General features: G+C 51.1%; 1 pseudogene; it reads left to right on the top strand.

Annotated features, from left to right (window-relative positions):
- Nucleotides 1,017-4,733, top strand: POLRMTP1 (RNA polymerase mitochondrial pseudogene 1; annotated as a pseudogene).

Genomic DNA, 11,719 nt, shown 5'->3' with positions numbered 1-11,719 from the left:
TTTTTTTTTTTTTTTTTTTTTGAGACGGAGTCTCGCTCTGTCGCCCAGGCCGGACTGCGGACTGCAGTGGCGCAATCTCGGCTCACTGCAACCTCCGCCTCCCCGGTTCAAGCGACTCTCCTGCCTCAGCCTCCCAAGTAGCTGGGATTACAGGTGTGTGCCACCACGCCCGGCTAGTTTTTTGTATTTTTTAATAGAGATGGGGTTTCACTGTGTTAGCCAGGATGGTCTCGATCTCCTGACCTTGTGATCCACCCGCCTCAGCCTCCCAAAGTGCTGGGATTACAGGCGTGAGCCACCGCGACTGGCCAGAGATGATAGATTTTTGAGTCATTTGTTTCTAAAGAGTAAAGAAAGCCATAAAATGAGATGTCTGCAAGGCTCTTGTATCGTTCGAACCGCGAGAGCAGAGCGCGCCAACAGACAACGTGAGGCGGTGTGGAACAACACGCTGTCTCAATAAGCGCCTGGGTGCTGGTGGACTGAGGCCTAAAATGGCGTCAGCTCCAAGTGAGTCCGGGGCAGGGGTTTTATAGTCCTCTGTAAACAGGCAGTGTCCCAGTCTGACGTGTCTGCTATGTAGTACCCGTACGGCCTCCCTCTCAATCTTCCGGCGTATGTGTCCTCCAGCCAGCTGTCTTCCTGCTTCTGCTATCTTGCTGACGCACGCTGCTGGTACAAGTGGCCTTGAGCCTTGGCACTGGGCCTGAGTAAGGAGGAGTTATTCATTCCCTTAAGTTTTCAGGCCCCGGGGAGAATCTTTCAATGTCCATGGTTGAGGGTGAAGGTGAGAAGAGTAGAGACTTAGGACCATCTCTAAGAGCTCGAACATATAAGGGTCAGGCAAAGGAAAAAAAGCCCAAGAGGAAACTAAGAAGGAGCAAGCAGAAAGAGGAGACTATGGTTCCACGCAGCCAAGAGAAGCAAGCATCTCAGAAAGAGGAAGCAATCAGAGTATAGAAAAATCAATTAAGATCTGAAGAAATGCCCCCTGTATTTACCAACAAGAAAGTTGTGGAGCGGCGGGGCTCAAACGGGCCCTGCGGCCTTGCGGCCGCCCGGGACTCCCCGCCAAAGAAGGGACCGTCGGTGGCGTCTGCGGCCCCAGGAGGAGCTCATCCGCCAGCCCCCAGGAGCAAGACCAAGACCGCAGGAAGGACTGGGGCCACGTGGAGCTGCTGGAGGTGCTCCAGGCGCGGGTGCGGCAGCTGCAGGCTGGGAGCGTGTCGGAGGTGGTGGTGAACAGGGTGGATGTGGCGTGGCTCCCAGAATGTGGCAGTGGAGGTGGTAGCCTCCAGCCACCCAGGAAGGTCCAGATGGGGGTCAAGGATGCCACCCCGGTGCCCTGTGGCCGCTGGGCAAAGAGACTGGAGAAGGATAAGCGGACCCAGCAGATGCGTATGCAGCGGTTGAAGGCGAAGCTGCAGATGCCATTCCAGAGCGGGGAGTTCAAGGCGCTGACCAGGCGCCTGCAGGTGGAGCCCCGGCTCCTGAGCAAGCAGATGGCCGGGTGCCTGGAGCACTGCACGCGCCAGGCCCCCCGAGAGCCCCTGGGAGGAGCAGCTGGCCCGGCTGCTGCAGGAGGCCCCTGGGAAGCTGAGCCTCGATGTGGAGCAGGCCCCGTCGGCGCAGCACTCGCAGGCCCAGCTCTCAGGTCAGCAGCAGAGGCTCCTGGCCTTCTTCAAGTGCTGCCTGCTCACTGACCAACTGCCCCTCGCCCACCACCTGCTGGTGGTCCACCACGGCCAGCGGCAGAAGCGGAAGCTGCTCACGCTGGACATGTACAACGCCGTGATGCTTGGCTGGGCGCGGCAGGGTGCCTTCAAGGAGCTGGTGTATGTGTTATTCATGGTGAAGGATGCCGGCTTGACCCCGGACCTGCTGTCCTATGCGGCTGCCCTCCAGTGCATGGGGAGGCAGGACCAGGACGCCGGGACCATCGAAAGGTGTCTGGAACAGATGAGCCAGGAGGGGCTGAAGCTGCAGGCACTCTTCACCGCCGTGCCCCTGTCTGAGGAGGATCGGGCCACTGTTCTGAAGGCCGTGCACAAGGTGAAGCCCACCTTCAGCCTCCCGCTGCAGCTGCCGCCCCCGGTCAACACCTCCAAGCTGCTCAGGGACGTGTATGCCAAGGATGGGCGTGTGTCCTACCCGAAGCTGCACCTGCCCCTGAAGACCCTGCAGTGCCTCTTTGAGAAGCAGCTCCACGTGGAGCTGGCCAGCAGGATGTGCGTGGTGTCCGTGGAGAAGCCCACGTTGCCAAGCAAGGAGGTCACGCACGCGCGGAAGACCCTGAAGACCCTGCGGGACCAATGGGAGAAAGCACTGTGCCGGGAGCTACGGGAGACCAAGAACCGCCTAGAGCGCCAGGTGTACGAGGGCCGGTTCTCACTGTACCCCTTCCTGTGCCTGCTGGACGAGTGCGAGGTGGTGCGGATGCTCCTGCAGGTCCTGCAGGCGCTGCCCGCCCAAGGTGAGTCCTTCACCACCCTGGCCCGGGAGCTGAGTGCGCGCACTTTCAGCCGGCACGTGGTGCAGAGGCAGCGGGTCAGTGCCCAGGTGCAGGCGCTGCAGAACCACTACAGGAAGTACCTATGCCTGCTGGCCTCCGACGCCGAGGTGCCCGAGCCTTGCTTGCCGCGGCAGTACTGTGAGGCGCTGGGGGCGCCCGAGGCCCTGCGGGAGCAGCCCTGGCCCCTGCCAGTGCAGATGGAGCTGGGCAAGCTGCTGGCGGAGATGCTGGTGCAGGCTACGCAGATGCCATGCAGCCTGGACAAGCCGCATCGCTCCTCTCGGCTTGTCCCTGTGGTCTACCACGTGTATTCCTTCCGCAACGTCCAGCAGATCGGCATCCTGAAGCCGCACCCGGCCTACGTGCAGCTGCTGGAGAAGGCTACGGAGCCCACGCTGACCTTCGAGGCGGTGGATGTACCCATGTTTTGCCCCCCGCTGCCCTGGACATCGCCGCACTCTGGTGCCTTCCTGCTCAGCCCCACCAAGCTGATGCGCACGGTGGAAGGCGCCACGCAGCACCAGGAGCTGCTGGAAACCTGCCCGCCCACCGCGCTGCATGGCGCGCTGGACGCCCTCGCCCAACTGGGCAACTGCGCCTGGCGCGTCAACGGGCGCGTGCTGGACCTGGTGCTGCAGCTCTTCCAGGCCAAGGGCTGCCCCTACCTAGGCGTGCCGGCCCCGCCCTCCGAGGCGCCCCAGCCGCCCGAAGCCCACCTGCCGCACAGCGCCGCGCCCGCCCGCAAGGCCGAGCTGCACCGGGAGCTGGCGCACTGCCAGAAGGTGGCCCGGGAGATGCACAGCCTGCGGGCGGAAGCGCTGTACCGCCTCTCGCTGGCGCAGCACCTGCGGGACCGCGTCTTCTGGCGGCCGCACAACATGGACTTCCGCAGCCGCACCTACCCCTGCCCGCCGCACTTCAACCACCTGGGCAGCGACGTGGCGCGGGCCCTGCTGGAGTTCGCCCAGGGCCGCCCGCTCGGCCCGCGCGGCCTGGATTGGCTCAAGATCCACCTGGTCAACCTCACGGGGTTGAAGAAGCGGGAGCCTCTGCGGAAGCGCCTGGCCTTTGCGGAGGAGGTGATGGATGACATCTTGGACTCCGCGGACCAACCCTTGACGGGCCGAAAGTGGTGGATGGGCGCGGAGGAACCCTGGCAGACGCTGGCCTGCTGTATGGAGGTGGCGAACACTGTGCGCGCCTCCGACCCTGCCGCCTATGTCTCCCACCTCCCCGTCCATCAGGACGGCTCTTGCAACGGCCTGCAGCATTATGCTGCTCTGGGCCGCGACAGCGTGGGCGCCGCCTCCGTCAACCTGGAGCCCTCGGATGTGCCGCAGGACGTGTACAGCGGCGTGGCTGGGCAGGTGGAGGTGTTCCGTAGGCAAGACGCCCAGCGGGGCACGCGGGTGGCACAGGTGCTGGAAGGTTTCATCACCCGCGAGGTGGTGAAGCAGACGGTGATGACCATGGTGTACGGGGTCACCCGCTATGGCGGGCGCCTGCAGATTGAGAAGCGCCTCCGGGAGCTGAACGACTTTCCCCAGGAGTTCGTGTGGGAGGCCTCCCACTATCTCGTACGCCAGGTCTTCAAGAGTCTACAGGAGATGTTCTCGGGGACCCGGGCCATCCAGCACTGGCTGACCGAGAGCGCCCGCCTCATCTCCCACACGGGCTCCGTGGTGGAGTGGGTCACACCCCTGGGCGTCCCCGTCATCCAGCCGTATCGCCTGGACTCCAAGGTCAAGCAAATAGGAGGTGGAATTCAGAGCATCACCTACACCCACAACGGAGACATCAGCCGAAAGCCCAACACACGAAAGCAGAAGAACGGCTTCCCGCCCAACTTCATCCACTCGCTGGACTCCTCACACATGATGCTCACCGCCCTGCACTGCTACAGGAAGGGCCTGACCTTCGTCTCTGTGCACGACTGTTACTGGACGCACGCAGCTGATGTCTCTTGTCATGAACCAGGTGTGCCGGGAGCAGTTTGTCCGCTTGCACAGCGAGCCCATCCTGCAGGACCTGTCCAGGTTCCTGGTCAAGCGGTTCTGCTCTGAGCCCCAGAAGATCTTTTAGGCCAGCCAGCTGAAGGAGACACTGCAGGCGGTGCCCAAGCCAGGGGCCTTCGACCTGGAGCAGGTGAAGCGTTCCACCTACTTCTTCAGCTGACACCCCACGAGCCTTGTGCCAGTGTGTAAATAAAGCTCTTTTGCCAAAAAAAAAAAGAAAAAGAAAGTTGTTGGTGAAGTGGAAGGAGCCTTTACCTGGTGTGGCGCAGGCAGCAGCCATGTTGTGGTGAATTGAGGAATGGGTAGAAAGTGAGACAGCAAGTGTAGACAGACCTTCAAAGAAGTTTGAGAAGACTAAGAAAAATAAATGCTCTCTATTCACCCAGATTCACCGTGCCAAGGGTCTTTTTTTTTTTCTCTTTTTTCTTTTCCTTTTCTTTGTGTGTGTTTTGTTTGTTTGTTTGTTTGTTTGTTTTTTTGAGACGACGTCTTGCTCTGTCACCGAGGCTGGAGTGCAGGGGTGCCATCTCGGCTCACTGCAACCTCTGCCTCCCCAGTTCGAACGATTCTCTGCCTCAGCCTCCCTAGTAGCTGGGACTACGGATGTGCGCCTCCACCACGCCTGGCTAATTTTTGTATTTTTAGTAGAGACGGGGCTTCACCGTGTTGACCAGGCTGGTCTTGAATGCTGGCCTCAAGTAATCCACCCACCTCAGCCTCCCAAAGTGCTGGGATTACAGGCGTAAGCCACTGTGCCCAGCTTCATTTTTCTATAATTCTTATTCTCATTTCTTTCTATCTTTCTCTCTCTCTCTTTTTTTTTTTTTTTTTTTTTTTTTTTTGCAATTTACTGAATCAGACCATTTGGGAGATGTACCAAAGGATTTAAAATTTAGACTTTGTTCAACAGTTTAAAATTCATTCCAGAAAAAAACAGCTTGGTGCTATGCATGATTTGATTTCAGAATTTCAGTTGACTTCATCTGCAGCTGCTCATGATAAAACTAATCAACAGACATAGGTCAGCTCTAGAGAGGAGGTTTTTGTCTTCTGTTTTGTTTTGTTAATTTCCATCTGAAAGCATTGTCTTCTTTGGTGCAAGCAGAAGCAAATTATCTTTTACTAGCAAGGTAAAGAGTTTTGTACAGAAACCTGAGTTAACCAGCACATTTCTCATTTTCGTGGCATCCAGTATGTCCTGGTGCCCTGGGTACCTGGATTTCTTATTCCTTAATATGCTTCTTTCCCCTACCTAAACAGAACTGTGTACTCCCTCTGACCTTCCCCCACCCTTTAACTTGTCTTGATTAGAGGTAATACTTACCATGACATTGTAATTGTTTTTGCATCAATGTCCTTTACAAGACTATGAGCTTGTTTAGGTCAGACACCATATTGCCTTTATAGTGCCTAGTGGGCCCTCAATAAATGAGTGAATAAATGCCATGGGCAGATAGGAAAGATCGACAGGCACTAGACCTGCATATGGGACCTGAAGTCTCACTGGGCAAAGCTTGCTTTCTTTTTTTTTTTTTTTTTTTTTTGAGACTGAGTTTCGCTCTTGTTGCCCAGGCTTGAGTTCAATGGCTCGATCTCGGCTCACCGCAACCTCCGCCTCCCGGGTTCAGGTGATTCTCCTGCCTCAGCCTCCCAAGTAGCTGGGTTTACAGGCATGTGCCACTATGCCCAGCTAATTTTTGTATTTTTAGTAGAGTCGGGGTTTCTCCATGTTGGTCAGGCTGGTCTTGAACTCCCAACCCCAGGTGATCAGCCCACCTTGGCCTCCCAAAGTGCTAGAATTACAGGCATGAGTCACCGCACCCAGCCTACTGGGCAAAGCTTTCTATGTGATGGTAAGAAACACTAAGCAATCTTTACTTGCCAAAAATTTAAAGAATTTAGGCACACATTGGCTTTTTTTGAGCATAGCCCACACCAAGCACTTACTATCTCTAATTTGATGCAAAGAAGAATTAACTGCAATCCAGGAATTGACCTAGCATTTTTACACATTTTTAAAAAATTGTCATAACTCCATGAGGTCATTTTTATTAGCTTCTGTTTTACAGGTTAAATAACTAAATTCGAAGAGGCTAAGTAAATCCATGATCCTTGAGCCAGGAAGAGGTGGAACTGGCCTTTGAATCCACCCCTGCTTTCTCCTTCCACCATGTTTCCTATTATCACTACACATTACATATCTCAATACGGAGCTATAAGGAACAAGGGACACTCAAGCATTACAGTAATTAGAATTTTCATATAATATTCCAGAAATCAGAGACTAATTCTCTCCAGTTTCAGCCCTGAAATCGAAATACAGTAATGTTAGAAATAAAAATGTCTCTTGATTTTCCCCCAAGGAATTTCCCTCTCTTATCCATGCAGTGAGCATTAACAATTAATGGAAAATGCTTTCTAAACCTTATAGCATCGTTCTTAATATTTATGATGCCCACGAAACATACAAACATCTGTTCCGTAGAGTGATAGCTATTAAAGCATACTTAAGTGCCAAGCACTCTCTCTCACGTAGATGAGTCAATACTTTAAGCATTTGCCCCTCTGGAGTTATCTAAATAGCAAGGATTCCAAGAAGATGGGGAGAAGACAATTTTAGACTCAACTGAAGGAATACTACTTCATTTTATCATGGCTGAAAGTACACAGTAATTTTAAATTGAATAAAGTTATTTGTAAATGGTTGACATGATCTTTCATATTAGCAATGACTGCACCCCTAAAGCTGAAGTTGAGGTTTCTCTCTGAGAAATAAAATTAGAAAACACTCAAAAGGTGATGGATGAGATTATCCATCAGCAGGAATGACAGAGCTGAGAAATCTGCTGTTAAAATAAAACTGAAGGGTTGGGCACACCCAAAATCCAATCAAGGTGACCTGTAAGCACCCTCAGGGAGCAGGCCTAGAGAGAGGTTACTACTATTTTTTGGCCATGCGTGGTGGCTCACGCCTGTAATCCCAGCACTTTGGGAGGCCGAGGCAGGTGGATCGCTTGAGGTCAGAAGTTTGAGACCAGCCTGGTCAACGTGGTGAAACCTTGTCTCTACTAAAAATACAAAAATTAGCTGTGTGGTGGGTGCCTATAATCCCAACTACTCAAGAGGCTGTGGCAGGAGGATCGCTTGAACCTGGGGGGCGGAGGTTGCAGTGAGCTGAGATTGCGCCACTGAACTCCTGCCTGGGCGACAGAGAGAGACTCTGTCTCAAAAAAATTTAAAAATAATAATATTTTACAGTGCTTGTAAAGAGAATATGTTAATGGGAAGAGAGTGGTCTGCTTGGGTCTCTGATAGCTGCGTCAAGTCAGTGGAGCCAATACCTTCACCAGAATGTCCTGTGTGACAATAAAATTTGTTGTGACAAAATAACTGGCACATTGATATATATGTGCTAGTATGACTCATGTGAGCTGGTCTCTGTGTATACTAACAAAATTTAGTTTAGCAAAGCTGAGGACCAGACTTTAAATATGGAAATCACACGCAAGTACCGCTACCCAGACTTTCCCAGCTGACACTTCTTCAAATTGCAACACACACAAGATTAACATAACAGCCACAGCGATAATCAAAATGGCAACTAACAATTGATGAGTACTTATTAAATGTCAGGTATACTTCTAAAGCTCTACATATGAATTTCCCATTGAGTCTTCACAGAAATCCCATGAGGTAAAATAAAAAACAGAAGCAAACACAGATTATGTAATATGTTCTAGGTCACATGTTAATGAGTGATGGAGACTAAATTTAACCTAGGTAAGCTGTCTGCATTTTTAGCCACACCTGGGGAGGGAGGAGCGCCACACTAATTTTGTAGAATACACACACACACACACACACACACACACACACACACACACACACACACATATATGTTAAGGTGGCTCATGCCTGTAACCCAACACTTTGGGAGGCTGAGACAGAGTCTCACTCTGTCACCCAGGCTGGAATGCAGTGGGGCGATCTTGGCTCACTGCAACCTCCGCCTCCCAGGTTCAAGCGATTCTCCTGCCTCAGCCTCCCGAGTAGCTGGGATTACAGGCATGTGCCACCACACACAGCTAATTTTGTATTTTTAGTAGAGGTGGGGTTTCTCCATGTTAGTCAGGCTGGTTGCGAACTCCCGACCTCAGGTGATCCTCCCACCTCGGCCTCCCAAAGTGCTGGGATAACAGGCGTGAGCCACTGCACAGGACTGGGTTTTTTTTGTTGTTGTTTTTTCTGGGTTTTTTTTTTTTTTTTTTTTTTTTGAGACGGAGTCTCACTCTGTCACCCAGGCTGGAGTGCAGTGGCGCAATCTCAGCTCACTGCAACCTCTGCCTCCCAGGATCAAGCAATTCTCCTGCCTCAGCCTCCTGAGCAGCTGAGACTCAAGGCATGCGCTGCCACGTCCGGCTAATTTTTGTATTTTTGATAGAGACGGGGTTTCACTATGTTGGCCAGGCTGGTCTCAAACTCCTGACTTCAAGTGATCCGCCTGCCTTGGCATCCCAAAGTGCTGGGATTACAGGTGTGAACCACCGCACCTGGCCCAAGCAGATTCTTTTGGTTGCAAGATACAAAACTCTACTTAAACGATTTCAAATAAAATGTTTGGTGAAGTTCACCATAAGCCAAGTAAGATATTCTTCTCTCAGCTGGGCGTGGTGGTTCACACCTGTAATCCCAGCACTTTGGGAGTCCAAAGCGGGTGGATCACCTGAGGTCAGAGTTCAAGACCAGTCTGACCAATATGGTGAAATCCCGTCTCTGCTAAAAATACAAAAATTAGCCAGGCGTGGTGGCAGGCGCCTGTAGTCCCAGCTACTTGGGAGGCTGAGACAGAAGAATCGCTTGAACCCAGGAGGTGGAAGTTGCAGTGAGCCAAGATCACACCATTGCACTCCAGCCTGGGCAACAGAGTGAGACTCTGTCTCAAAAAAAAAAAGATATTCTTCTCTCATAGTACCTTGGGCTTATTGCATTCACTACACTGCATTATAATTATGTTTATATATTCATTATAATTATCCCACTCGACCCCAATAAATTCATGATTTTTCTCTCTTGTATTTACTACTATATCCTTGGTACAAAGAACAGTGTCTGACAAATAGTAGATGCTGAAGAAATATTTGTTCCAATAAAAAGTAGGATTGGAGGCTGGGCACAGTGGCTCATGCCTGTAATCCCAGCACTTTCGGTGGCCGAGGTAGGCAGATCACTTGAGGTCAGGAGTTCGAGACCAGGCTGGCCAACATGGTGAAACCCTTTCTCTCTTTTTTTTTTTTTTTTTTGAGACGGAGTCTTACTTTGCTTCCCAGGGTGGAGTGTGGTGGCGTGATCTCGGTTCACTGCAACCTCCAACCCCCTGAGTTCAAGTGATTCTCCTGCCTCAGCCTCCCAAGTAGTTGGGATTACAGGCGCCTGCCACTGCGCCCGGCTAATTTTTGTATTTTTAGTAGAGACGAGGTTTCACCATCTTGGCCAGGCTGGTCTTGAACTCCCGACCTCATGATCCACCCGCCTCTGCCTCCCAAAATGCTGGGATTATAGGCGTGAGCTACCGTGCCCAGTGAAACCCTTTCTCTATGAAAAATACAAAAAGTAGCTAGGTGTGGTGGTGCACACCTGTAATCCCAGCTACACATGAGACTGAGGCACAAGAATCATTTGAACCTGGGAGGCAGAAGTTGCCGTGAGCAGAGATTGCACCACTGCACTCCAGTCTGGGCAACAGAGTGAGACTCTGTCTCAAAAAATGTAGAATTGGGGCAACTGGGCAGGGACAGGAGTGTTAGTTAATTACCTGAATGATTTTAAAAGTAAGAAAGTCAGCCAGAGTTCACAGAAACCGAAAATTCAAGAACAGAACTCATTTTTCTATCATGCCCCTCAACCAGCATCTTTTGCTTCTGCTCTTGTTGGCATATATATTCCATTTTCCTTTTTTTTTCAAGTGGGCTTCCTTTGATTATTTATACTTTCTGCTTCCCCATAATTTTGGCTTTTGTTAAACTTTGGTTAGCCGTAGTGCCAACCTCAGTTCCAACTCTAGTTGGCCTTCCAGTTCTAGAGCCCACCACTACCTACAGACTTAAGGCTTTCTGATTAAGGTTCTCAGGATAAAGATTCTCATTGGTTCAGCTTAGGTGAAGACATCTTCAATTGTCCAATACACCATGGTAGGAGTGGTTGACAAAAATGACTGTCTAGGCTTGCCCTTTTGTCAAGAGGCAGTTTCCACAGAAAGGATGGGGGGCTGAGTATGCACTCCCAAAATAAGACTCCTACAGATGTTAAACTGATATTTCTCTCTTTTTGAATCTAGACAATTTTTTTAACCTACCAAGGAGAATGCTTTAAATTATATTGAAAATTTATAGTCATATGTTTACTGTATTTTAACAGAGAATTTCTAGGGACTGCCATTTTCCAGTTGCTTGCATTTTCAATTTTGTTCTTTGATTGCTTAAAACACAGACATCTTTTCTTTCTTGCCATGCAACGAAAATGTTCTATTTTGATATGGTGTGTGTTAGTCATAGTGTTTGCCTTTTCATTATGATATCAAGAAGTTAATCTGTTCCACTCTTTTTAACTAGTGTAGTTAAGGGCTTTTGACAGTTTCTTGTGATAATTGCATTATGATTTTCACCCTTTTATTTTTTAATCTTATTTTATTTATTTGTTTATTTTTGAGACTGAGTCTAGCTCTGTCACCCAGGCTGGAGTGCAGTGGCGCAATCTCGGCTCACTTCAAGCTCCGCCTCCTAGGTTCATGCCATTCTTCTGCCTCAGCCTCCTGAGTAGCTGGGACTACAGGCCCCCGTCACCACACCCGGCTAATTTTTGTATTTTTAGTAGAGACGGGGTTTCACCATGTTAGCCAGGATGGTCTTGATCTCCTGACCTTGTGATCCGCCCACCTCGGCCTCCCAAAGTGCTGGGATTACAGGAGTGAGCCACCACGCCCGGCCCTTTTTTTTTTTTTTTTTTGAGATGGAGTTTTGCTCTTGTTGCCCAGGCTGGAGTGCAATGGCACGATCTTGGCTCACTGCAACCTCTGCCTCCCAGGTTCAAGCGATTCTCCCGCCTCAGACTCCCGAGTAGCTGGGATTACAGGCATGCACCACCACGCCCAGCTAATTTTGTATTTTTAGTAGAGACGGGGTTTCTCCACGTTGGT

Source organism: Homo sapiens, chromosome 17, assembly GCF_000001405.40.
Source record: "Homo sapiens chromosome 17, GRCh38.p14 Primary Assembly".
Taxonomy (NCBI): Eukaryota; Metazoa; Chordata; class Mammalia; order Primates; family Hominidae; genus Homo; species Homo sapiens.
The sequence above is the reverse complement of the archived record's forward strand: the minus strand, read 5'-3'. Positions and strand labels throughout refer to the sequence as shown.